At 41.8% G+C, this 27,645-nt stretch overlaps 2 long non-coding RNA genes across 2 annotated transcripts in view, besides 5 other annotated features; one reads left to right on the forward strand and one right to left on the reverse strand.

Moving 5' to 3' along the window:
• The window catches only part of LINC02192 (long intergenic non-protein coding RNA 2192), a 37,817-nt gene extending 29,596 nt beyond the window's left edge, over positions 1 to 8,221 (reverse strand). The window contains exon 1 of the long non-coding RNA NR_110649.1: positions 7,532 to 8,221. This is a non-coding gene — a long non-coding RNA (long intergenic non-protein coding RNA 2192). The remainder of the gene's footprint in view (positions 1 to 7,531) is intronic.
• Positions 1 to 27,645, forward strand: part of LINC02133 (long intergenic non-protein coding RNA 2133) — a 49,851-nt gene that overhangs the window by 20,329 nt on the left and 1,877 nt on the right. The window contains exons 3-4 of the long non-coding RNA NR_110650.1: positions 290 to 526; positions 1,155 to 1,242. This is a non-coding gene — a long non-coding RNA (long intergenic non-protein coding RNA 2133). The remainder of the gene's footprint in view (positions 1 to 289; positions 527 to 1,154; positions 1,243 to 27,645) is intronic.
• Positions 7,965 to 9,164: an enhancer, noted in NCBI's record as "BRD4-independent group 4 enhancer chr16:47920785-47921984 (GRCh37/hg19 assembly coordinates)". NCBI's record gives its function as "activates an origin of replication core promoter dependent on BRD2, P300/CBP, MED14 and CDK7 cofactors, and independent of BRD4, by STARR-seq in HCT116 cells {active_cell/tissue: HCT116}" and the evidence as "EXISTENCE:reporter gene assay evidence [ECO:0000049][PMID:35650434]".
• Positions 7,965 to 9,519: a biological region, named in NCBI's record as "BRD4-independent group 4 enhancer GRCh37_chr16:47920785-47921984".
• Positions 8,705 to 9,519: an enhancer, noted in NCBI's record as "NANOG-H3K27ac hESC enhancer chr16:47921525-47922339 (GRCh37/hg19 assembly coordinates)". NCBI's record gives its function as "activates a minimal SCP1, AML or CMV promoter by ChIP-STARR-seq in naive H9 embryonic stem cells {active_cell/tissue: H9 hESC(naive)}" and the evidence as "EXISTENCE:reporter gene assay evidence [ECO:0000049][PMID:30033119]".
• Positions 9,520 to 10,333: an enhancer, noted in NCBI's record as "NANOG-H3K27ac hESC enhancer chr16:47922340-47923153 (GRCh37/hg19 assembly coordinates)". NCBI's record gives its function as "activates a minimal SCP1, AML or CMV promoter by ChIP-STARR-seq in naive and primed H9 embryonic stem cells {active_cell/tissue: H9 hESC(naive and primed)}" and the evidence as "EXISTENCE:reporter gene assay evidence [ECO:0000049][PMID:30033119]".
• Positions 25,017 to 25,518: an enhancer, noted in NCBI's record as "H3K4me1 hESC enhancer chr16:47937837-47938338 (GRCh37/hg19 assembly coordinates)". NCBI's record gives its function as "activates a minimal SCP1, AML or CMV promoter by ChIP-STARR-seq in primed H9 embryonic stem cells {active_cell/tissue: H9 hESC(primed)}" and the evidence as "EXISTENCE:reporter gene assay evidence [ECO:0000049][PMID:30033119]".

Consider the following 27,645-nt stretch of genomic DNA (forward strand, 5'->3'; position numbering starts at 1 on the left):
AACTTGCACTTAAATAGTTGCCTCAGGGTTTGCTTCTAGGGACCCCAACCTAAGACAGTAAGCTGGACTCCTTTCAAAAAGGAAAATGAAAAAAAGACCTTGCAGCTGACCTTGCCCTGCCTAGCATTTTCTATTCTAGTGCCCTATGAGATGACATTTCAGCTGATACTTGAGACGACAGGTGACAAACCACTCTTTCCAGTGCAGAGGTGGCCTTGGGCATCACTGAATTGCATGTGGCTTGTCTTCAGGGTTCTTGTACCTTGAAATTATCTCTCTTAATTCCCAGGTTCTCAGAAGGCAGTCACATCTGGACAGCATTCCTTGACTACGCATCAATATTCCATCATGTCATTGCCGGCTGTGAGGAGGAAAGTGACCTCCTAAACAAATCCGTGCACGTGTAAATGACAGCTGCTGGTTTGAATCTGTTTCTTCTCCCACCACTTCCTCTTCTGATCAAAGAGCCCACCTTTTCATTTGGAGGAACCATTTCTCAACTGGTCTCATTCTGTGAGGTTTAGAGGTAGGAATTGAACTTAGCTCTGTCTAGAGCCAAATCTACTCCAAAAGTGTTCTTAACCACTACTGTGGGGTGGCTGACAGTACAGGCTCTGGAGTGACATCTGCCACAGTTCAAATCTCAGCCATACCTCATACTAGCTAGGAGGCTGGGGTAAATGCCGCTCACCTTTCTAGCCTTAATTCCTTTATCTCTCTCATGAGCTTATTGTGAGAATTTAAAAGATATAATAACCAGAAAGCACTTAGTATAGTTCTTGGCTCATTAAAGTGCTCAACAAATAATAACTATTAATGTTTAAATTATTAAGACTCTAGTTGGCTGAAGAAAAGTGATAGGAAAGCTAGAGGCTCTGGTCTTTACTCTGGGAGCTTCTAGAGAACTCAGACTTTGGTTATTTCTCTCCTGTCCCTGAGTCCTACCCACATTGTAAGAGTGAGTGAGTGAGTGATGATGGTGTGTTTGTAGAATTCACAAACCCATTGAATATTCTTCCTGAAGCTTAGCTAAGTGAGCTCCCTGCCAGGAACTTATGTGTGGACAGCCACGAATCGTGGCATCAAATAATATTTAATTTCACTTCTTCCTAAATATTACTGAATTCCATTCCCAGTAACTTTCCCTTTTGAAGTTCTCTTTTTGAGGCAGTTCAAGTGGAAAAAGAAATAACCTAGAAGCAAGTAAAACAACCTTATTCAAAAACAACAAAAATCCTTCAGGTAAGTGCAAGGAACTGGGCCCTTTTGTGTTTTTTTGTGTAAATTATTTAGTATACTGATTATCCAACATGTCCTTTATTATTTTAGAGACTGCTTCTTCCATCCCCTAGGGAGAGTGTTTTTAGCTCCATGGAGCATGAATTTTTTCACTTATCTAGTGATGATTAGGTATAAAAATCCTTTTTGGTAAGAGATTCCACTTTTAATGGTCTCTTCAATGAACAGTTTTCTGTAAATATTGTATAAGTCTATTCAGGGAAAAAGAATGCCCTTGCCTCTGGATTCTTTATAACTCCACTCTGATGAGGGCATCTGCTGAGTCCCAGCTTGTGGATCTGCGAGGTTGATGTGGACTCTAGTTCTGGAATCCTCTTCTGTTTGGACTTCCTTTTTCCTTGTTATTTTTTTTGCTTTGATGGCATTTGCATTTCTACATGGCCCTGGAGCCAGACTGTGACACTTGGTAGCTGTGTGACCTTAAACAAGCTATTTAACTTATCTCATGCTCATTTTCCTTACTATAGTCTGAAGATAATATCAGCATCTACTTTTTAAGGCTTCAGTACAGATTAAATAAATATCACAGCACTTACCGTGTGCTGGGCACTGCACTGTACTGCCCAGCACATGGTTAGTACTTCATATATCAGCTCATCATCATCACTGTCATCATCATCGTCGTCATCATCGTTGTCGTCATCATCAATGTCATCACCACCATTGTCATCATCATCATTGTTGTTGTCATAATCATCAAGGTCATCATCATCATCAAGGTCATCATCATCATGCAAGTGGTTTCTTTACTTTCAACATACACAGGCTGCCAAGGGGATAGCCCTAAATATAATTGCCCTCATACAGAATCTCTCTCTGACAACCCAAGGCCCAGCAGGCTGACTTCATTAGTCTGCTCACCTATAAAAGGGGTAATAATAGTATCTACTTCACAGTGTCATGAGGATTAGATGAGTTAATAAATGTAAGGTGATTAACATAGTGCCTCACACATAATGGGTATTCAATAAACAATAAGTCTTGTTGGAGTTCTTGCAGCTTAGCTCTTTGAGGGCTAAATATGCAAAGCAAAAACCCAATAAATTTATTTTCTCATTCTTAAAGAAATATTGAGTGCCTTCTGTGTGCCTGGCACTGTTCTAGCCTCAGGCAAAGATAAAGTAGTCATAGTGAGTACGACTAGCAAGTGACAAGGTTCTCACCCCATTTACTCTCATGGGAGATGACTGACAACTACTATATAGCTATGTTGTATAATAATACATGCTAATGGAAAAAAATAAAGCATAAACATAGCAAGGGAATAGGGAATAAAGAGAGTCAGAATAGGAGATGGGGTTGTTAAAATAGATAGAATGGGCATGGTGGCTCATGCTTATAATCCCAACACTTTGGGAGGCCGAGATGGGAGGATTGCTTGAGTCTAGGAGTTTGAGACCAGCCTGGGCAACATAGTGAGACCCCCCCCATCTCTATAAAATTTTTTAAAAAAATAGCCAGGGATGGTGACATGTGCCTGTGTAGTCCCAACTACTCAGGAGATAGAGGTAGGAGAATTTCTTGAGCCCAGGAAGTGGAGGTTGCAAGTGAGCCATGATTGCGTCATTGCACTCCACCCTGGGAAACATAGCAAGACCTGTCTCAAAAAAAAAAAGAAAACTCATTAGCAAACTCCCCGAGCCACCTGTTGGCCAGGACATTCACCTTTAGAGGACATAACACTTCCCAATCGAGCTTCCCATGTAGTTCAGAGAGTAGACAACTGCAGTCTCTAAACTACTGATACGGCACATCAGCTAATTAAATTACTGCACACTGCTGATTGCAAGGCTAAAGCCAGTGGAGTGATTTGTTATTATCCTCTTGAAGAACAATCGATGGGCAAAATATTATTAGATTTGATTTTTCTAAAAAGCTGGGAGTAAAGGTATTTAATTAAGATTGTGTCAAAGCTTGGCTCTGGTTTTCCCCTTTGGCCCTTTTCTTTTCATTTCAACTATGAAAGTGTTCCTCTTAGAAAAATGTGAAGAAACTAGTTTATCTCCATTATTGCCAAAGTACAAGTTGTATTTTGTCAACTTACTCCCAATCCATATTTTAAGTTGCTATCAGGGCTCTTTGTGCAGGAAAAATCTAATCCAATACAACCCATGCTAGAGTGTGGTTGAGCTTCATTTCATGCCGAGAATCCCAAGGAGGGACTATAGTCTGGGTAGAGACTTTGGCTATAGCTCTCCATTTATTCATTCAACTCACTCATTCACTATGAATTAATTCAGCTCCTCATTTGTGCAAGATACTGTGTTAGCAGCAGAGCATACAATTGAAGAAAAGACAAAATTTTGATGTTTCTTCCTCAAAACCCTTGAACAAACAATGGGAGACTACCTGTAAAAGAGAAATGACTTGATGCCACCAAATTTTATTTGTTTCTCCCTAGGAATGGCCCCTCTTTCCCACTTGTTCAAAAGTAATCTGTCCTTTAAACTCTTGCTTGGTTGAGGACTCTTCCATGAGGCCTTCCCTGAATACTCCATTTCTTACTTGGAATTCCCCACCCCCATATTTTTCCAACTGAGTTTCCTTTGAACAATCTGTGCCATATAATTTTTAATCAAATGTGTATTGTTATTTCTATTTTGTCTTATTTCCAAATTAGATTGCAACTTTTTTGAGGGCATGGACAACATCTTCTCCTTCTTTGCCTCAAAACATCTACCTCGTTTAAAATAATCCATTATATGAAAAAGATACTTGCACATGCATGTCTATAGCAGCAAAATTTGCAATTGCAAAAACGTGGAACCAACCCAAATGCCCATCAATCAATGAGAAAGAAACTGTGATATATATATATATATATGAATGAATGATGGAATACTACTCAGCCATAAAAAGAAATGAATTAATGGCATTCACAGTGACCTGAATGAGACTGGAGACTATTATTCTAAGTGAAGTAACTCAGGAATGGAAAACCAAACATCATATGTTCTCACTAATAAGTGGGAGATAAGCCATGAGGATGCAAAGGCATAAGAGTGACACAATGGACTTTGGGCACTCAGGGAGAAAGGGTGGGAAGGGGATGAGGGATAAAAGACTACAAATAAGGTGCAGTATATACTGCTCGGGGGATAGGTGCACCAAAATCTCACAAATCCCCACTAAACAACTTACTCATGTAACCAAACACCACCTGTTCCCCAATAACCTATGGAAATAAAAAAATTTAAAAAAACAAAAAACAGAAACAAAAATCCATCTACTTCCTTGATCTCTTGCATAGAACAGGCACCCGTTTAATTGGAAATGAGCAAACTTGTTGCTGATGTTCCTCAGATGATTTGGTTTGACTCCAAGAGACTATTCACATCCACCATCCATTCATCCATCTATCCACCATTCATCTTATCCATTTCTTCATTCACCCACCATTCATCCCTCTGTTCACCATCCAGCCAGCCATCTATCACCCATTCATCTATCCCTCTACCATCCATTCCTTCCTTCATTCACCCAGTAAAAGTTCAATTGTGGGAAAACCTATAGTTTTTAAATCCTTTTATTTTATGACTGATATTAATTGCTATATCCAAAATGTCAAGAGAGAATCAGCACAGAAAGTGAATGTTAGAAATGGAATCAGATGCAGATGACTGGTCTTGGTATCTGCCATTTCCTCCCACCCAGATGCCCTTTTGTTCTTAGAAGCCAAAGACAGTCATCTTAGAAACTTTCGGGCAACAAAATTCGTGCAGCCTTTGGAACTAAGAATTACTAGTCTCTACTTTCTAATGGTTTAGTAGTCAATGGATATATATAATTTAAGCCATTTAATTTGCTTTCACATGTGATGTTTTAGAAGCAAACAATTTGTGCTAATACAATTGTTATATTAAAAATCTTACTAATTTAAGCTTTCTAAGAATACAAATGTACAGCTTATAACTGTTCTGTTACCATTAGTCACACACAAGAGAACATGACACAAGGTAGGTATTGTGTCTCTTGGAAAGAAAAACAGCTTGAAAGAACAAAAGCTTGCATATCAATTCCCTGCCAGCCAAAGGGAGTGAGTCCTGTAAAGCATCCAAGATAAAAGGAAGATGGGAGAGAAGGAGACAGAGACAGAGGAGGTGGGAAGGTGAGAGAAAGGGGAAGGAGTGAAGGAGAAGACTTTCTTAATGGTAAAGGAAACAGAAGGGAAGAGAAAGAGAAAGAAACCTCTGAGGAGGAGGGAGTGTGCTGTGATCTCATGAGGGAGACCTGATCTGCTGGCTGGGAGGAAGAATCCCACTGAGCTGAGCCAGCTCCTTTTGGCTGCCTTGCCTTCTCTGCATCATCATTCAATTCACACCTGGGCCTCTTGGCCGGTGGGCTCTCTTTCACTGCTTTCCCCATAAAACCATCTAATCCTCTTTCTCCCTCTCTGAGACTCTTTCCTCAGAATCAAGCTTGCAATCCTCTGCTGCTTCACAAAACACAAGTCCTGCAGCATCCAAACACAATTAATTGACTTAATGCCTTCATCCACGGCCAAGCAGGTCTGGATAATAAAAGAGCCATAAATAAGCAACGTGGCTATCAAACGCACAGAAAATAGGACCATTGGCATTTACTGGTAGAAGCTGTTGGCTTGAATTGCATCAACAATGACTCCAGATCTTCCTTCTAAAATAAAATAAGAAAATGATCCATTTGTTGTTTGGGAAGAGAATTCTATTCATATATTTATTTGGGAGGAAAAAGAAGATGTTGGTGGTTTAAGACCAGAAGCCAAAAAGAAAAAAAAAGCCCGGTTTTATTCTTGAAAGATCTGATTACCAGCCTTTGCAATGTTTCAGGAAAATATTTCAGGACACACTGATAATTTGCATGAGTTTGAGAGGTGTTTTTGCAGCTTTTCCAAAACAGAAAAGAAATAAAAAGAGAGGATGGTTTGTTATTCCAAGAGGTAGAAATGCAAAAGGAGTCAGAATATCTTGAAAAAGAAGAAAATGTTTTGGCTTTCTGGCTTGTTGCTGTGTAATTATTTTAAAATATTTCAAATGACTACTTTGCTAAATTTTCTTTTCCTATAGCAACTTGAGATAAACATGTGAAAGTGATTGTTCTGACTCTTGTTCCCCAATTCATGTTTATTTATTTATTTTGCTAAATATAACTGTATTTAGAGAAAACCCAGGATTCTCTTTGAAGTTCCAGCCAGAACCTTAAAGCCTCTGAAAAGGCATCAAGGGAAAAACAAAAACAAAAACAAAAACAAAACTCAGCCTTGGTGATGGCCACACCCAAAATGATGCCTACCTTCTCTCTTCCCAGAAAAAAAAGTTTATTTGGATAAAGCTCTTAAGCTATTTCTTTCTTGTTCTAGTGAGAACCTGTAGCTAGTCCTCCTTAAACTCCCTTTCTCCTAAGCCAAATGGATAGACACCTGTAAAAAGTAGAGTCAAATAGCAACAACTCTGGAACTGAGACAGGAATCCTAGATCTGATTTGCTGTGTGATCTTGGATAAGATAGTTAACCTCTCTGTGCCATAATTTCCTCATCTACAAAATAAGGGTTATAAATGTACATACTCCGTAGAGCTCACTGAGTGTTCACAAAAATCCCACCTACTTACAAAAAGTCACTTATTAGTTATGTACCTGGCATATAACTAATACTTGATAAATGCTAACAATTATTGGTTTCCTATATGCAGCCTCCTACCTCTAAATGCAATACCTCTTCTAGGATACAGATTTTGTAGTAAACTCTGTAAATTTCCTATTTCCAAAGTTGTTTATATTTTTAAATTATTCACATTAGGAATATTTTGTTTATTTTCACATCACAATTTTTTTGCAGGCATTGCTTGAGAACCAATTTATTCTTGATCATCTTTTTTGATGTGATGCTTATCAGTAATCCCTGAAGAAATCTAATTTAAAAAAAAGCTTCAACATCTATAGCTGTCTATGTTGGATTTATTTGCATTAGCTATTTAGATGAGTCTCTCTAGCTTGGCATTTGTCACCTTTTTTTAACTTTTTTCTTCCCAGGAGATCAACATCTTTGCATCCTTCTATCAGTACTTTGAATCTTGTATTTCACTTGAATGCCCAGCCCCGCGTCAGCGATGAGATATTGATTTCTTCTTGTTGTCATTTAACATTCTCATGGAGACCCTGGCGGACCAATTTACAAATGATTGCTAAAGTGCTTTGGCAAATCGTGGTGTTTTTGACAGAGAAAGAAAAATACAGACTATGAAAATTTTGTACCTTTCAATGGGGTTCACTTAATGCCATGCAGCCTTTCTCCTCATGAGCATTTTCGGTCACCACTAAAGATCCTGTTTGGCTTCTTTGATCCTGCGATGCACAGGGCTCCCTCCTCCAGGCAGGATGTCTCATCTCCGGACTTTGTGGACTGGGGTTGATTCTTTCACGCCCAGGGGGCCTCACCTCCGGGCCTGCTCCTTTCTTAGAGGTTAGTCTTTGCGTGAGCAGGCACACTTGTTCTGAAACCACCACCATGGGGTTAATTTGCAGATCCTCAACCCACCAGGCAGACTCCACTTTCTGACCCCATCTGTCAGACGCTGAAATTCATGGTCCTTCCCAGGGCAGAAGCCACGAGCCACAGAGCAAAGCTGCCATCACTTTGTATATTTCAGGGTTATTTATTAGGCCTTGGCTTGGAAGTCTAGCCAGGAGGTTTTCACTCAGGGTCTGTTTGCCTTACGCAGTCTGTCTCTGAAGTGCAATTTGGAGATACAGAGACGTCAGGGTAATTTTCCATCCTCTGGTGACAGTGTTATTATTGAGAAGGAAGGATGAGGGCCGCTTGCTGTGCTAATGACTGCTTCTCATTTCATAGGCTCCAGGAGACCCAGGCTGTAAACGACTGCACATAGTCAGGTTCCCCCAGAGCCTCACATGGAGTTCCTCGCCCTGGGGAAGTGATGTTAATGGTTTTCTTTGCAAATCCCTCTCCCACCCACTTTCCTGACAGGATTATAGAATCCCTGTGTCTAGACACCCTGGGAGCTCTGAGGATTTCCTGAGCCTGTTTTCACTCACTCATTGTGATATCTCCTATGGAGGCTGAGTCAACACCCAGTATTGTGAGTATTGGGGGCGTAAAGGAGATGTTAGGATCATAACCTAAAAGTCCCTGCCTCCCACCCGCAGCCCCCTCCCTGACCCTGTGACCCATCACGCTAGCCTTCTGCACCCTTTGATTCTGTGCTTTTCAGAGCCCCGAGAAAGCTCCGAGCCTAGAATGCTGCTCCTTTCCCCTCTTCATCTCCTCAATGTCCACCCATCCTGTGTCACCAGTCATCAGAGAAGCCTCTGTGCCTCCACCCCAGAAGAGGTCAGGCTGGAAAGCTCTTAGAACCTCTAGTTTGCTTCCTTCAGTGCCTTTCTTCTATTTCATATTTGCGTGAGAATGTGCCTGGCCTCTTCCACCCGAGGAACCTGAGAGGCTCCTGTGAGCTAGGGCAGGCTTGAGGCTCTGCTCACCAGCGCATTCAGCAGGGAGGAGAGGCTGGCACATGCAAATTCCTTTCTTTAGTCATCTTTATTGTATGAATGGCTGCGAGGGAGTAGCCTCGGGGTATTCAGTGGGGAACTGTGAGTCAGTAGAGGGGTATATAATAGGTACTCACCTGAAAATGGTCTTTTGTCTTTCAGTTTACCCCTGGGAAAGGGTGAAAAAAAGGAGCTGCTACATGGTGGGTTACTTGAGTGTAGGAAGGAGAACAGGCATAGGATCCATTCACGTTTACTCTTCTTGACGTGATATATGCATGTGAATAGCCTTTAGGAGCAAACTCAACACTCAGCTAAATTGTAGTGCATGTCATTTCCAACAGACCCTTAGACTATTAGAAAGGGCAAGATGATTGTCTGTTTCAGCGTTGACATGTGTGTGCACACAGAACTCTTTATGTAGAAGAGATAATGTATCAAGTGGGGTAAAAAATGGAATCACTGAAAAAAAATTATGTTTTTCCATGGAAGGGTAATTATTGCCCAAAATAGAGCACAGATCAAAACATCTTAATTCTTTGCCATTCTCTTTTGGATTGTAAAAATCCCTGTACTCTCTATATTTGCCATGTCAATGACCCAAACGCCCAGGCATTGCAGGAATGTGGCAGAGTTTGAGTTGAGTCTTACGTATTCATTTAGAAAATACTTACCAGGCAGTGGCCACGTGCTGGGTACTCTGATCATGTTTCAGGGTCATGCAAGACACAGTTCCTGTCCTCAGATGGCATGGGGTGATGTGAAGAGCCTGGGGTTTGGAATCACACCACTTTAAATTGGAATTACAAATCTACCATTTACCAGCAGCATAAACTGGGACAAGATGTTTAATCTCCCTCATTCCCACTTCCTACATCTGTAAAGTGAGGTTAATGCTGCTTATCTCATAAGATAGTTTTGAAGACTAAATAAGACACAACCATGTATAAAGAAAGTCAGATCGCCGCATGCCCTCAGTCAAAACCCTTCAAAGGGTTGTTAGGAAATTGGGAATAGAGTTTGAAATTCTTTGTGCTGCTACACGATCTGACCTTTGTCTGCCTCTCTGTCCATCTGTCTGGTTTTTGCTGCCTTGCTCTGTGTGCTCCCAGTGTGCTGGCCTCCTCCCTGCATCTCCAGCCTCCCAAGCATCTTCCTGCCTCAGGACCTTTGTGCTGGCTGCTTCCTCTGGCTGGAACAGTTTTGCTTCCAATAATCACAAGCCTTTTGCTCACATTAATCAAGTCTCTCCTCCAGAGGCATCTCCGCAAGAGTTCTTTCCTGCCCTCCAGCCTGAAATATCTCCCATCACTCCGAATTCTTTAACCTACTTTCTTTCTCTTTATAGCCATAATTCCTATCTGACGTTACGTGATATGTCTATTTGCTTCCTGTCTGTCTGAAAACTCTGATGAAGGCGGGGCACAGTGGCTTGTACCTGTAATCCCAGCACTTTGAGAGGTCAAGGAGGGAGAATCATTTGAAGACAGGTGTTTTGAGACCAGTCTGGACACCATAAAGAAACCTCATCTCTATGAAAAAAAAAAAAAGGCGAGACATGCGATTGTGCCTGTAGTCCCAGCTACTCGGGAGGCTGAGATGGGAGGATCATTTGAGTCTAAGAGTTTGAGGCTGCAGTGATCCATGATTGCTCTACTGCACTCCAGTCTGGGTGACCCTGTCTTAAAAACAAACAAGCAACAACAACAAAACTCCATGATAACAGGAGTTATTATTTTTCCATTGCTGTCTCCCCAGTTCCTGGAACAGTGCCTGGTACCCAAGTATTTCCTGAATGAATAAATGATGAAGATTTCTTTGCCGAGTGCTTGGAGTATAGTAGGAACTCAATTAATGTCAGTTATCTTGCTTCACGTTTCTCAGCAAGGAGCTTAAACTTTAGAGCTGAAGATAAGACAGTGTGAGATGGATTTTTTTTTTTTGGATTTAGTTAAGCCACATGGATCTTTTTATATCCCAATAACGACACAGTGCAGAGCCTAAGAGAAAGTGAATTTTCACTTTATGTTTTAACCAATTTGTTCCACATAAAGTATGTCTGGGGTGATAAGAGCAAGAGTTAGGAAAAAAATAAAGCACTAGAACAATTCATGGAATTTGCTTATTAGTTCTTGTCCTCTCTAGCAGGGCTTGCCTTGAAAGAAGGAGCTGACTAGAGAGAAAGAGCTACATTGACTCTGCAGGAGTAAACACCACAATTAAAAGTTTCCTTTAATGAATCCTGTGTGAATCTCCCTATTGAAAGATGCATGAATGGAAGCTATTTCTGTCCCTTGCTTTATGAATGAATTGTATGGAGATGTTTCTTTGCTATAGTGAAAGGCATCCCACATAGAGCACATGCTTCGTGTCTGCACCTCACTAATTGACTCATGAGTTTATGGGGTGCCGATTATGTGCCCGGGGTGGTGGGTGGAGAATGGGGAACTGGGGAAGAAACACCTTGGCAGGTGCTCTGAGAGTGCATTAGGGGAACCTGGATCAGATACGAAGGGGATAGGTTAGGGAAGACTTGTCAGAAAGTATGTTTGAGCTGAGATTTCAAAATTAATAGACATTAACTCGGCAGAGGGTGGTATTGGGACAGTGGTTCAGAATGAAAGGCATTCTAGGCAGAGGAAAATTTGAGAAAGTGGATCCTGGGTTCATAACCTGTCTCTTCCACTATGGAGACCCATCTCTCTCTGTGCCTCAGTGTCTCCAAACGTAATAAGAAGGGTTGGATTAAATGGTTTTTGAAAAGTTCTATACAGATGGGAATTCTGTTTGATCATACAGGGCACTATTTTCCTTTTCCTCTACCTTCCTGTGCCCTTCCTTTCCTACTATGTGCATTTTCCCTTTCCTTCCTTCTTTGACCCTTCTCTGCCCCCTCCCTTTTATTTTTAGTTATGTGGCCAATCACCAAGGGCAACAGGGAATATTATTTAATGTCTTTGAGAACACTTTGGGCAGAAGGAGTGGCAGATTGCTTCATTAACATTTATTCTCAAATTTGAATAGGGAGAATAAAAATTTTAGAGACAGAATAGTAAGTGGGCACACTAAATCTTAGGGTGGTAGAAAGGAAAATTGAGTTCCATAGTAGCAACATTTGGGTAAAGAGGAGATTCTTTTATTGGGTGAATAATCACTCTGTAATTAATCACTCTGTTAGTATAATCATTAACACTGCAAAGGGGTTCAGAGTATGCAACCCCCAAATATGCCACTTGAGCATGAAGATTATTTTGAGCTGAAGGCAATTCAAAAACAGCAGATGCAAACAAAGCTCTCTATCCTCCTCCTTTCTGCCTACATGCAGGGCATAAATTTCCATTTGTGAAGGTGTCCCCCACATTTCTCCCATACCAAAAATAGAAGACTCTTATCATGGGAGATGGCACTGACTTGAATCTGCACAAACAAACCTTACTGAAATAATCCTTTTCTTCCTTTAGTTTTCCCTGTATAATGACCTTTCCAGAATTTACCACCCCTAAAAACCCAAACTCTTTTCCTTTGTCCAGTCACTTCTCCACACATTTATCACTCTTTGTTAAAATGGTATGTAAGCTCTCAGGCCTAACTACATCTTTGGATTATCACTTCCTTTTCTATGAGAGGTACCTATAAACATAAAAATATTAATATCAATATAATCCACCTACTTTTTCTCTTGCTAATCTGTCTTTTGTTAGTTTAATGTGCGTGGTCTCAGTTATTGAGCCTAACTATAACTAGTTGAACTATTCCTATATTACCCATAGAATTATCACAACAAGTATCAATTAATAACCCCAATTTGTAGGTGGGAAAACTGAGGCTCTAAGAGGATACTCAGCTAGCAAGTAGTAGAACCAGGCTGGGATTCCTGGTAGCCAGCCCTCAGAGTTCATGTATCTCCACCTCACATTGGCTGACCCTAGATCTGCTGCATGCTGACTATGTGACCTTGGCTTAGCTGCCTTTTCTCTGGGCCTCGGTTTCCCCAACTGATCTCTGCATTGCTTTCATTAGTGCTTTCTGATTTGGTCACAAACCCCTGTTCTTTCCCTGCATCTGAAGTCACCATTAGACAAAGGAGGAGAAAACAGCAGGAGACTTGTGAGCTCTGTGGCAAATACTTTGAACTCATTCATTCAAGGACTGGAAATATATTTAACCCAAGGGCAAAGTAAAGGACAGGATGAGTTTTGGTATACTAGAATAGATAGAGAAGAGAGTAAATTTGGAGTGCATGACAATTTCTTGAGTGGCAAAGAGAATAATAAAAATCAGATGTTGCAGTGGGGAAAAGAAACCTCCCATTCCATCTGGGCCGGATTTACACTTGGGGAGTAATTTTGGCAGGGGTAGAGCCTTGGTTTGTTAAATATTAAACAAAAAATATTAATAATCTGGCTCCTTCTTCATGTCTGTCTCTGATGGTACAACAACTCCTAATTCGCTTTACCTCTTCATTCTCTCTTAGTTAGGCTGATATTTCATTCTAGCAGAATTTATTTTGTAGCCAGTGGTAAGCCTCCAAAAGGTTTGCCAAAAGCTAGACTTGTAAGAACTCTTCCTCCTTTCCCTGAGAATTCACGAGAAGGGGATGGGACAGAGAACAAGAGACTCTGAAATATTTCTTGGCCATAACAGCAGAAATACCATGTAGCCCTTCTCTCCCCTTTGCCTTGGTCTTCCCCCATGAAAAAGAACATGCTATCAAAAAGAGAAGACAGGCAGGTGGACCAGATTCGAGGGTATAATTGTGCATATAAAATCCAAATATTCTGGGGCTGGCTTCTCAGAGGAAGGAGAAATACGCTGCATTACCCTGAAGTCCTACAAGATCAAAGTGAGGGAGTGAAGGAGGTAATGCGAAGTGTCTGAATTGCTTGAAGAAATAAAGGCATAAGAAAGATGGCTAGGAGAACAGATATGAAAGATAATGAAGTTTAGCTTGAATTATGGTGTAAGAGTGTGGCTAAAAGTTTCTGAAAGCGTGAGATTAGGGCAGCATAAATAATCTATAAAGACATTAGTGCCTGTCTTACTTATTTCTCATCCATATTTAAAATACACCAACCTCCTCCATTGTTTCATCGAGCACCATTTATAAAATGGGGACAGCACACCCAGAGTGTTCACTGTCCCTCCGGATGTAATTTTACTGAATTCGCAGTCACATTTTGTTTTCCATTTCTTATAGAAATGCTTGAAAAAAATCCCTAAACAAAGAAATACTTAGCTGACATTTTAAAACACAAACTGTATGCCAAATAAAAGGGCAGGTTGCTAGAAGCTCTTTAGTAAATGATTACGCTTTAAAGGTCTAAATGTACACACTCATTTTCAAGTACATTTTATAAAATAATTTACTCCCAGTCTGTTCTGAATAATCGTACAAAAATGGTTCGTAAGCATAATAAATCTTTCACATACCATCTTTTTGCATGCTGTTCTTGAAAGTCTCAATTTGAAGATTATACTTAATGGAATTGTCTGTCGATTTCAATCATTATCATCTGGGGCAGATGGTTCTTTGATTGTGCATTTAATATGCAGGAAAATACTGCGCTGCTTCTGCTTTGGAGTTAGCCTTCCGACAATTCACATTGTGAAGGGTACCTTTTTGCTTAGAGAATTGTTTCTTTTAAACACCAGACTTTATGTATCATTACAAATAAATATATTCAGAGATGAATTTTCATCATTAATTTGTTCACCTCATGTATTCACATTTGAAATGGAGCTCATTTGGGATTTATTACATAAATGATGAATTTGAGAGGAATACGTGCCAAGCTGCCATGGAAGCTGGAAGCACCAAGGCAGCTGATGGCTCATGAGGACAAGTTTGTCTAAAGCAGGGCCAAATGCACAGGGCCTGAGTTCAAGAAGCCATATCATTCCTCGGGCCTTGCTCTTGGAATAATGGATTTTCTCTGAGAAGGTAGTGTCCCCAATGGTTAACTTTTTGGCATAACCCCCCAGCTCTTGCGGAATGAGTTTTTCTCTCGAAATTCTGCCTATATCATTATTTCCATCTTAATCTACCATGTCTCCAGGATGAGTGGAAGAAAAGGAGCATAGAGAACATAGGTCATAAATCTCACTTGTGATGGGCACTAGGTCAGATAGAAGAATTCAGTGAAGAAATTTTTCTAACATTTTAATATGCCCTGAGCATCAACTAACACAGCCACTACTGTACACATCAGTGCCCCCTTCTCCCTGGGGGATTCGTTCCAAGACCCTCAGTAGTGGATGCCTGAAACCACAGCTAGAACTACCAAGGTAGCTGATGAATAATTGCACAGGCCGGGCGTGGTGTCTGAGGCCTGTAATCCCAGACCTCTGGGAGGCCAATGTGGGGTGGGTGGATCACCTGGGGTCAGGAGTTTGAGACCAGCCTGGCCAACATGATGAAACCCCGTCTCTACTAAAAAATACGAAAATTAGTGGGGCGTGGTGGCACTTGCCTGTAATCCTAGCTACTCGGGAGGCTGAGGCTGGAGAATAGCTTGAACCTTGGAGGTGGAGGTTGCAGTGAGCTGAGATTGCGCCACTGCATTCCAGCCTGGGTGACAGAGTGAGACTCTATCTCAAATAATAAGAATAATAATTGTACAAAAATAGTTCATAAGCACAATAAATCTTTAACATACTGTCTTCTTGCATGCTATTCCTGAAAACCTCAATTTGAAGATTACACTTAATGGAATAATCTGTCAATTTCAATCATTATCATCTGGGGCACGGGATAGTACTGAACCCTACATAGCTTGTGTTTTTCCCATACAATCACATTGTATAAGGTGGGTAGCTTACATGGTGTGGATATCCTGGACAAAGGGATGGTACTTATCCCAGGTGGGGCTGAGTGGCATGGTGCTAGATTTTATCACGCTACCCAGAACACTGAGCAATTTGAAACTGATGAATTGTTTATATCTGAAATTTGCCATTTAATATTTTCAGACTGTGGCTGAGCATGGGTTACTGTGGAAAGCGAAATCACAGATAAAGGGGCACTACTGTCTATCCGTATAAGCAGATAAAAGTGTATAATATCATTTGTGAAGCTTGTGTAACTCTATGACATAGCAGCAAAAACATAGGTTTTGGAATCATAGGACTCAGGTTTGGATTTTAATTCCTCCTCCTGGAAAGGAGTGTAGAGTTAAGGCAAAGTGGGTGGCTGTGGTAGTTGTGTGACCCCAGGCAATTCACTTAGCCTCTCAGCCTTAGGTTTCCCAGTTATGAAAATGAAAATAATAGTATGCCTACCTCATAGGACAGTTGTGATGACATACTACCAGCAGAGCAGGTAGCCTATTTGTGATTATTAATACATTTAGCAATTACTTACACACTACTAACAACTTGTGCTTTCCCAGAGCTTGTGCTGCATGGCTCCAGCACAAGGAGCCCTCCCTTGTCCACCTATTTACCTATGGGCCATCGGCCACCTGGCAGTGGGGAGGGAAGTACAGGGGAACTGTCTGCCGAGGCCCTGACCAACAGAAACTGTGATTCTCTAACTATCGTGTGAGTCCAGAAGAAAGCAGCATTTGATTCACAAAAATTAAATTTGCATGCGATGTTTTCCTATTGCATGAAACCATCTGCACAGTGTTCATCTGAGTAGCAACGCCCTGTGTGTGAACCACACATTATGTCGCAGATGCATCTTCATTAGCGACCAGAGTGGTATTCAAAATGGGTAAATTGGATCATTTAATATCGCTGCTCTTACCGCCGGAAAAAATGAAATTGAGGTTTTTTTTCCCCATTAGAGTTAATAAGACTTCAAAGGCTAGATTTTCATTAGGAAGGCAAAAGCATTCTTATAAATCCTGTCTCTCTGAAGAAGAGCTGAGGATGAAGAAGCCAGAAACCTGGGGCCACTGTCACTATCTTCCCACAGTGAGACTGTGACACTGTGGACTCAGCTTTTTTGCTCTTTAGGAATCACAGCCCAGAAGGACTTTTCTCATACCTCTCCTCTGAAATGCAATTGAGAGCTCACTTCCTCCAGGAAGCCTCTTGGTTTATCCACCCGGGTCACAGCTCTGTGACCCCACTTCCTCAGGCCACTTTGGAACTCAGCATCCAGTTTTTCCCCAGAAGCAGAGCCTAAGGCAAGACTTGGTGGAGGAAGGGCTTTATCTGGGAATTGATCCCAGGGAGCAGATGTGAGAGGCTGGGGAGAGGGAGACAGGGATGAGAAGAAACCTCTGTAAGGATGCAAAACTGAGGCTACTGCTGTGGGCCCTAGGGCCTGGATCCCACTGCTCTGGGGAAGCCTGCAGAAGGCCTCGAAGGGCAGTCTGCCTGAAGCACAGAGGGAAGAAGCAATGGCTTTCGCAACACCTCCATTGGTTGTAGGTTTCCTGTGGGAACATTAACCTCACATTCAAGGGTGACACATGGGTTCAGAGGTAGTGGAATCCTAGGACATTAGAGAAGACCCTGGGGCAGAAAGAAAAGTCTATGAGTGCTTGAGGTGAGATCCAGCCAGCAAGAGGCAAATAACTGGGGCTGGGCAATAGGAAGAGGGGCACCTGAGCCACCTGCCACATAGTAATTGTCAACTCAAAAGAGGTAAAAGACCAGACTGCAATCCAATATAAGAAGGTGTTTATTGGAGTCTTAAGAACTGCAATTTGGAAGACACAGATATGGCTAGAAGCCAACTTGTGTTCTGAAGAGAGGGAAGGGAGTATGGTTTTTTGTTTTGTTTTGTTTTTTGACAAAGTCTCACTGTGTTGCCCAGTTAGCACTTCTGCCTAACTGTATGTTTGTAACCATTGGCCAGTCTCTCTTCATACCCTCTGCCCCCGACATTTTTCCCAGCCTCTGGTATCTATTATTCTACTTTTCACCTCCACGATATCAACATTTTTAGCTCCCACATGTGAGTTAGAACATGAAAATTTGTCATTCTGTGTCTGGCTTATGTTACTTAATATAATGACCCCCAGTTCTATTCATGTTGCTGCAAATGACATGATTTTCTTCTATTTTATGGATGAATTGTATTTAATTGTGTAGGTATACCAGGTTTTCTTTATTCATTTCTTTGCTGATGGATATTTAAATTGATTCCACAGCTTTACTATTGTGAGTAGTGCTGTAATAAATACTTGAGTGCAGACACTAAAATGGAAGATGGCTGAATAGGAACAGCTCCAGTCTGCAGCTCCCAGCATGATCAATGCAGAAGACGGGTGATTTCTGCATTTCCAACTGAGGTACCTGGTTCATCTCACTGGGACTTGTTGGACAGTGGGTGCAGCCCATGGAGGGCTGGCGGAAGCAGGGTGGGGCGTCGCCTCACTGGGGAAGCACAACAGGTCAGGGAATTCCCTTTCCTAGCCAAGGGAAGCCATGACAGACTGCCTGGAAAAATGGGGCACTCCTGCCCAAATACTGCACTTTTCCCAAGGTCTTAGCAACCAGCAGACAAGGTGATTCTCTCCTGTGCCTGACTCTGCTGGTCCCAAGCCCATGGAGTCCTGCTCACTGCTAGTGCAGCAGTCTGAGATTGATCTGTGAGGCAGCAGCCTGGCTGGGGGAGGGGCGTCCGCCATTGCTGAGGCTTGAGTAGGTAAATAAAGTGTCTGGGAAGCTCGAACTGGGTGCAGCCCACTGCAGCTCCACAAGGCCTACTGCCTCTAGACTCCACCTCTGTGGGCGGGGCATAGCTGAACAAAAGGCAGCAGAAAACTTCTGCAGACTTAAACGTCTCTGTCTGACAGCTCTGAAGAGAGCAGTGGTTCTCCCAGCACAGTGTTTGCACACTGAGAACAGACAGACTGCCTCCTCAAGTGGGTCCCTGACTCCTGTGTAGCCTAACTGGGAGACACCTCCCAGTAGGGGCCAACAGACAACTCATATAGGTGGTCACCCCACTGGGACGAAGCTTCCAGAGGAAGGATCAGGCAGCAATATTTGCTGTTCTGAGATATTTGTTGTTCTGCAGCCTCTGCTGGTGATAACCAGGCAAACAGGGCCTGGAGTGCAACTCCAGCAAACTCCAACAGACCTGCAGCTGAGGGACCTGACTGTTAGAAGGAAAACTAACAAAGAGAAAGGAATAGCATCAACATCAACAAAAAGGTCATCTACACCAAAACACCATTGGTAGGTCACCAACATCAAAGACCAAAGGTAGATAAAAACACAAAGATGAGGAGAAACCAGAGCAGAAAAGCTGAAAATTCTAAAAATAAGAATGCCTCTTATCATCCAAAGGAATGCAGCTCCTTACCAGCAACGGAACAAAGCTGGAAAGAGAATGACTTTGACAAGTTGACAGAAGTAGGCTTCAGAAGGTTGGTAATAACAAACTTCCCCAAGCTAAAGGAGCACGTTCGAACCCACTGCAAGGAAGCTAAAAACCTTGAAAAAAGGTCAGACGAATGGCTAACTAGAATAAACAGTGTAGAGAAGACCTTAAATGATCTGATGCAGCTGAAAACCGTGGCATGAGAACTACGTGATGCATGCACAAGTTTCAATAGCCGATTCAATAAAGTGGAACAAAGGGTATCAGCGATTGAAGATCAAATTAATAAAATAAAGTGAGAAGACAAGGTTGGAGAAAAAAGAGTAAAAAGAAAAGAACAAAGCCTCCAAGAAATATGGGACTATGTGAAAAGACCAAATCTACATTTGATTGGTGTACCTGAAAGTGATGGGGAGAATGGAACCAAGTTGGAAAACACTCTGCAGGATGTTATCCAAGAGAGCTTCCCCAACCTAGCAAGGCAAGTCAACATTCAAATTCAGGAAATACAGAGAACACTACAAAGATACTCCTCGAGAAGAGCAACCCCAAGACATGTAATTGTCAGATTCACTAAGGTTGAAATGAAGGAAAAAGTGTTAAGGGCAGCCAGAGAGAAAGGTTGGGTTACCCACAAAGGAAAGCCCATCTGACTAACAGCGGATCTCTCAGCAGAAATCCTACAAACCAGAAGAGAGTGGGGGCCAATATTCAACATTCTTGAAGGAAAGAATTTTCAACCCAGAATTTCATATCCAGCCAAACTAAGCTTCATAAGTGAAGGAGAAATAAAATCCTTTACAGACAAGTAAATGCTGAGAGATTTTGTCACCACCAGGCCTGCCCTAAAAGAGCCCCTGAAGGAAGCACTAAACATGGAAAGAAACAACTGGTACCAGCCACTGCAAAAACATGCCAAATTGTAAAGACCATCAATGCTAGGAAGAAACTGCATCAATTAACAGGCAAAATAACCAGCAAACATCATAATGACAGAATCAAATTCACACAAAACAGTATTAACCTTAAGTGTAAATGGGCTAAATGCTCCAATTAAAAGACACACTGGCAAATAGGATAAAGAGTCAAGACCCATCAGTGTGCTGTATTCAAGAGACCCATCTCACATGCAGAGACACACATAGGCTCAAAATAAAGGGATGGAGGAAGATCTACCAAGGAAATGGAAAGCAGAGAAAAGCAGGGGTTGCAATCCTAGTCTCTGAAAAAATAGACTTTAAACCAACAAAGATCAAAAGAGACAAAGAAGGCCATTACATAATGGTAAAGGGATCAATTCTACAAGAAGAGGTAACTATCCTAAATATATATGCACCCAATACAGGAGCACCCAGATTCATAAAGCAAGTCCTTAGAGACCTACAAAGAGACTTAGACACCCACACAATAATAATGGGAGACTTTAACACCCCACATCAGTATTAGACAGATCAATGAGACAAAAGGTTAGCAAGGATATCCAGGACCTGAACTCACCTCTGCAACAAGCAGACCTAATAGACATCTACAGAACTATACACCCCAGATCAACAGAATATACACGTTTCTCAGCACCACATCGCACTTATTCTAAAATTGACCACATAATTGGAAGTAAAACACTCCTCAGCAAATGTAAAAGAACAGAAATCACAACAAACTCTCAGTCCACAGTGCAATCAAATTAGAACTCTGTATTAAGAAACTCACTCAAAACCACACAACTACATGGAAACTGAACAACCTGCTTCTGAATAACTACTGGGTACATAACGAAATGAAGGCAGAAATAAAGATGTTCTTTGAAACCAATGAGAACAAAGACACAATATACCAGAATCTCTGGGACACATTTAAAGCAGTGTGTAGAGAGAAATTTGTAGCACTAAATGTCCACAAGAGAAAGCAGGAAAGATCTAAAATCAACACCTTAACATCACAATTAAAAGAACTAGAGAAGCAAGAGCAAACACATTCAAAAGCTAGCAGAAGGCAAAAAATAACTAAGATCAGAGCAGAACAGAAAGAGACAGAGACATAAAAAACCCATCAAAAAAATCCATGAATCCAGGAGCTGGTTTTTTGAAAAGATCAACAAAACTGATAGACCACTAACAATACTAATAAAGGAAAAAGAGAAAAGAATCAAATAGATGCAATAAAAAATGGTAGGGCCAGGCACGGTGGCTCACACCTGTAATCCCAGCACTTTGGGAGGCTGAAGTGGGCGGATCATGAGGTCAGGAGATCGAGACCATCCTGGCTAACATGGTGAAACCCTGTCTCTACTAAAAATACAAAATATTAGCTGTAGTCCCAGCTACTCGGGAGGCTGAGGCAGGAGAATTGCGTGAACCCAGGAGGCGCAGCTTGCAGTGAGCCGAGATCATGCCACTGCACTCCAGCCCGGGCAACAGAGTGAGACTCCATCTCAAAAAAAAAAAATGATAAAGGGGATATAATCACCAATCCCACAGAAATACAAACTACCATCAGAGAATACTATAAACACCTCTATGCAAATAAACTAGAAAATCTAGAAGAAATGGATAAATTCGTGGATATATACACCCTCCCAAGACTAAACCAGGAAGAAGTTGAATCTCTGAATAGACCAATAACAGGCTCTGAAATTGAGGCAATAATTAATAGCCTACCAACCAAAAAAAGTCCAGGACCAGATGGATTCACAGCTGAATTCTACCAGGGGTACAAAGAGGAGCTGGTACCATTCCTTCTGAAACTACTTCAATCAATAGAAAAAGAGAAATCCTCCCTAACTCATTTTATGAGGCCAGCATCATCCTGATACCAAAGCCTGGCAGAGACACAACAAAAGGACAATTTTAGACCAATATCCCTGATGAATATCTATGCAAAAATCCTCAATAAAATACTGGCAAACTGAATCCAGCAGCATATCAAAAAGCTTGTCCACCACGATCAAGTTGGCTTCATCCCTGGGATGGAAGGCTGGTTCAACATACGCAAATCAATAAACGCAATCCATCACATAAACAGAACCAAAGACAAAAACCACATGATTATCTCAACAGATGCAGTAAAGTCCTTTGACAAAATTCAACAGCCCTTCATGCTAAAAACTGTCAATAAAATAGGTATTGATGGAACATATCTCAAAATAATAAGAGCTATTTATGACAAACCCACAGCCAACATAATACTGAGTGGGCAAAAACTGAAAGCATTCCCTTTGAAAACCAGCACAAGACAAGGATGCTCTCTGTCACCACTCCTTTTCAACATAGTGTTGGAAGTTCTGGCCAGGGCAATCAGGTAAGAGAAAGAAATAAAGGGTATTCAGTTAGGAAAAGAGGAAGTCAAATTGTCACTGTTTGCAGATAACATGATTGTATATTTAGAAAACCCTATTGTCTCAGCCCAATATCTCCCTAAGCTGATAAGCAACTTCAGCAAAGTCTCAGGATACAAAATCAATGTGCAAAAATCACAAGCATTCCTATACACCATTAACAGACAAACACAGAGCCAAATCATGAGTGAACTTCCATTCACAATTGCTACAAAGAGAATAAAGTACCTAGGAATCCAACTTACAAGGGATGTGAAGGACCTCTTCAAGGAGAACTACAAACCACTGCTCAATGAAATAAAAGAGGACACAAACAAATGGAAGAACATTCCATGTTCATGGATAGGTAAGAATCAATATCATGAAAATGGCCATACTGCCCAAAGTAATTTATAGTTTCAATGCCATCCTATTCAAGCTACTAGTGACTTTTTTCAAAGAATTGGAAAAAGCTACTTTAAAGTTCATATGGAACCAAAAAAGAGCCTGCATAGCCAAGACAATCCTAAGCAAAAAGAACAAACCATCGCATTACCTGACTTCAAACTATACCAAAAGGCTACAGTAACCAAAACAGCATGGTACTGGTACCAAAACAGATATAAAGTCCAATAGAACAGAACAGAGGCCTCAGAAATAACACCATACATCTAAAACAATCTGATCTTTGACAAACCTGACAAAAAAAAGAAATGGGGTTAGGATTTCCTATTTAATAAATGGTGCTGGGAAAACTGGCTAGCCATAGGAAGAAAGCTGAAACTGGATCCCTTCCCTACACCTTATACAAAAATTAATTCAAGATGGATTAAAGACTTACCTGTTAGACCTAAAACCATAAAAACCCAGAAGAAAACCTAGGCAATACCATTCAGGACATAGGCATGGGCAAGGACTTCATGACTAAAACACCAAGAGCAATGGCAACAAAAGCCAAAATAGATAAATGGAATCTAATTAAACTAAAGAGCTTCTGCACAGCAAAAGAAACTACCGTCAGCATGAACAGGCAACCTACAGAATGGGAGAAAATTTTTGCAATCTACCCATCTGACAAAGGGCTAATATCCAGAATCTACAAAGAACTCAAACAAATTTACAAGAAAAAAAACAACCCCATCAAAAAGTGGACAAAGGATATGAACAGACACTTCTCAAAAGAAGACATCTATGCAGCCAACATACACATGAAAAAATGCTCATCATCACTGGTCATCAGAGAAATGCAAATCAAAACCACAATGATATGCCATCTCATTGTGGCAGTTAGAATGGCAATCATTAAGTCAGGAAACAACAGATGCTGGAGAGGATGCGGAGAAATAGGAACACTTTTACACTGTTGGTGGGACTGTAAACTAGTTCAACCATTGTGGAAGTTGGTGTGGCGATTCCTCAGGGATCTAGAACTAGAAATACCATTTGACCCAGCCATCCCATTACTGGGTATATACCCAAAGAATTACAAATCATGTTACTATAAAGACACATGCATATGTATGTTTATTGCGGCACTATTCACAATAGCAAAGACTTGGAAACAACCCAAATGTCCAATAATGATAGACTGGATTAAGAAAATGTGGCACATATACACCATGGAATACTATGCAGCCATAAAAACAGATGAGTTCATGTTCTTTGTAGGGACATGGATGAAGCTGGAAACCATCATTCTGAGCAAACTATCGCAAGGACAGAAAACCGAACACTGCATGTTCTTACTCATAGGTGGGAACTGAACAATGAGATCACTTAGACACAGGACGGGGAACATCACACACTGGTGCCTGCTAGGGGGTGGGTGTTGGGGGAGGGATGGCATTAGAAGAAATACCTAATGTAAATTATGAGTTGATGGGTGCAGCAAACCAACATGGCACATGTATACCTATGTATCAAACCTGCACGTTGTGCACATGTACCCTAGAACTTAAAGTATAATTAAATCAATAAAAAGTAAAAAGTAAATAAATAAGTGAGTGCAGGTATCCCTTTAATACGCTGAATTCTTTTTCCTTTGGATAGATACACAGTGGTAGGACTGTAGGATTGTATGGTAGTTCTGTTTTTAGCTTTTTTTTTTTTTAGAAATCTCCACACTGTTTCCTGTAGTGGCTATATTGATTTACATTCCCACCAACAGTGGACAAGGGTTTCCCTTTCTCCACGTCCAAACCAGCAAGCAAGGTACATTCTTATTCTAGAAAAAGTGGTCACGGAAAAGACGGCATTGAATAGAGTTAGGGAATAAGCCGAGAGAAGAGCGGTAGTGGTGAGGGGCTTGGGGAGGCGATGAGAGCACTCAGGATGGAGATGCCGACAGAGTGGTGGTGCTGCCGTGGGAGGAAGGCCTGTGTGTTTGAGCAGAAGAAGTCCAGCGTGACTGAGGCTGAGTGAGCAAGGGTGAGAGTTGGGGAACTAAGACCACAGAGGTGGCAGGGGGAGGTTGTGCAGTCCTATGAAGGGAGGTTGGGTCTTCTTCCTTCTGGGAGCGAAAGCTGTTGGCAGGCAGTAATGTGAGATGGTTGAGTTTTTCAATAAGAGTTTTAAAAATCAAGACTGTACTGAATACTTTTCATATTCAGAATTTTCCTTATAACTACCCTATGAGGTTTTAGGGACAGGGAAGGAATGCAGTTTCTCTAAGCTCATACAATTATGCAGACAGGATTTGAACTCAGGGACTCTGGCTCCAGAGCCCTAGATTTTATGTTATTTGCCTTTAGTGCCCTAAAGTTGTTTCTCTAGGACTATACCCTGGATCCCTCCAAGACAGCACAGTCTTCCAGGTCAGAGGTATTCTTTCACTGTCTTTCTACCTCCCACAGCAACCAGCGATGCTCACATTTGCTGTTACCTAAGTGATGCGGCTGGCCTGGGTGGGTGCACAGCCTAGGGACAGAGAGGCATAGGTGCTGGTGGAACACTGCGGTGACATTTTGTCCTGCCTTAATCACTGCACTGGGGGCAGACTTTTATGAAGGGGCATGCCTTTCTGCTTCAGTGTGTCCAGATCATGCCTGCTTAGTGGGGAGGGCAGTCTGCCTGGAAGATTCTGAGGCCCCAGAGCACATCCATGTAATGGCTGAGTGAGAGACATAGGCAGAAGGAGGAAGTAGGAGGGACTGACGTTTTCCAGTTTTTCTATCTATAAAAGTAAATTCAAACGGCTCCCACAATTTGATTTAAGCCAATATTCTGACCTATTTGTGCCCTCTTTCATCCTGTGTCTGAAAAGGAAAGTGTTAAGTATTTTTCTGCATTTGCAAAAAATTTCTTTGACCAGCAAGGACATTGGGTCAGCTTACCCTTTAAAGGTGGCAACTCCAATTTAGAAGATTTAAGTTTGGGAAAATGTGTGCTTACTAAGAGCCCAGGAGCAGAGTCGTAAAGAACTCGCCCATCCGTTCTGCAAGCAGTAGTTTATGTGGGTTCATTCCAGAACCTTTCAAAGGCTGTGAAAAAGGCAGGAGTGACTCTGCCATTCATTGAGAGTGCAGTATCAGCCTCAGGGGCTGACCTGAGCAGCTTGCTCCACCCCTGCTTTGAGGAAGGACAGCACCTGGTCAGAGAGGTGTCTTGCTCAAGGTACAAAACAGGTAACAGGTAAAGCGCTCCAGAAAAGCTCGTTAATCAGGGCTTCAGTGTCCGAGTTGCCATAGCTTGGTGATTTCAGAGGTCAGCCATGGGGAAGCCCACAGTCAATTAGAGTGAAAGGCCAGAGGCCAGGTCAGCTTCCCTGTGATCTGGGTCCTAGCATTGTGGAGGGCAGTGGATGGATTTTACTTGCTGATTTTCGAAACACCAATAGCAGACTTCCTTGACCCATGCTTAACACCAGTCTCACCTGGCGTTATTAGCAATGCAATGCCACAGGAAAGAAATTCTAACTGAAAACATGAATAAACTCCAGGAGGGTTGAAGTAAGGTAGTCAAGAGTAACTTCCTTTGTGGTTTGTTTGGTGTCCAGGAGAAGAATCATGATAATACTCAAATTTACCTGAAAACCTCCATCAGCATGACGGTTCCTCAGTTGAGTGGACTATGGAACTGACCCGAGAGACATTTCGATCTCCTTAATATCTGGTGTAAGCTACTGTGGCTTGAGTTGTATGTGGCTTTCCTAGATCTTAGGGTGCAGAAGTAAGTATGCCGTCATGAGCTGGGGTCAAATCAGGACACCTGAAGTTTTCCCTGAATCGTATCAGAGTCTCAACAGTTGCCATTAGTAACGACAGTCAATATTTTCTGCACACTCATGTGCCAGGCCCTGTGCTGAGTGCTTGTCAGACTTTCTCACATCAATCTTTGCAGTAATTCCATGAAGTAGGTTTGGATCTTTAGCCCTGTTTTACAGGTGAGGAAACAGAGGCACAAATTCACTGGATCAAGTCTGCCCTGGTAGGTGGAGGCAGAGCTGGGATTTGACTGCAAGAGTCAAGATTCCAGAGCACACTCTTTCGAACCCCAGGAAGAATTCCCTCTCCCAGGCAGGCACATACATGACCTAAAGGAATGTTGGCCTGAGGGACAGTGGCATTGAGTCATGCCTGCCTGGGGTCTGGAAAATGACCAGAGTGCCAAGGGGTCTGGAAAATGCCTGGGGTAGAGATTGCAGTAGCTACACTCAGACTCCTCAGGCCAGAGAAGTTGACAACAATGCCACATGCACAATCTGCTTTCCCAGCTGCCGTGGTTATGAACAGAAATGCTACAAATTCCAACCTGTTTGAACGTGGACTGGAGTTTAGGGAGGGCTGGTGACTTGTCTTTGACTCACTGAATCCATCTCAGCACTTTTTTGACAATCATATTTTCTGTCTTTACTGTCTCTGAGGCTTGGGCTTTTCATTTGTTTCTTTTATTTATTTATTTATTTCTAGAGATGGGGGTCTCACTATATTGCCCAGGCTGGCCTTGAACTCCTAGGCTCAAGCGATCTTCCTGCCTCAGCCTCGCACCTGGGATTACAGGTGTGAGCCACCACCACCCTTGGCATTTTTTTTTTTTGAGTGGGTTTTTCTTTTTTCTTTTTTTTTTTTTCTTTTTTGGCAGAGTCTAGCTCTGTTGCCCAGGCTGGAGTGCAGTGGTGCGATTTCGGCTCACTGCAACCACCACCTCCCAGGTTCAAGTGATTTTCCTGCTTCAGCTTCCTGAGTAGCTGGGATTAAAGGCGCTCACCACCATGCCCAGCTAATTTTAGAGTGGGTTTTTCTCGAGACACTTTCTGTACCCATTCAT

The sequence above is a fragment of the Homo sapiens genome, chromosome 16 (assembly GCF_000001405.40).
Source record: "Homo sapiens chromosome 16, GRCh38.p14 Primary Assembly".
NCBI classification, from domain to species: Eukaryota; Metazoa; Chordata; class Mammalia; order Primates; family Hominidae; genus Homo; species Homo sapiens.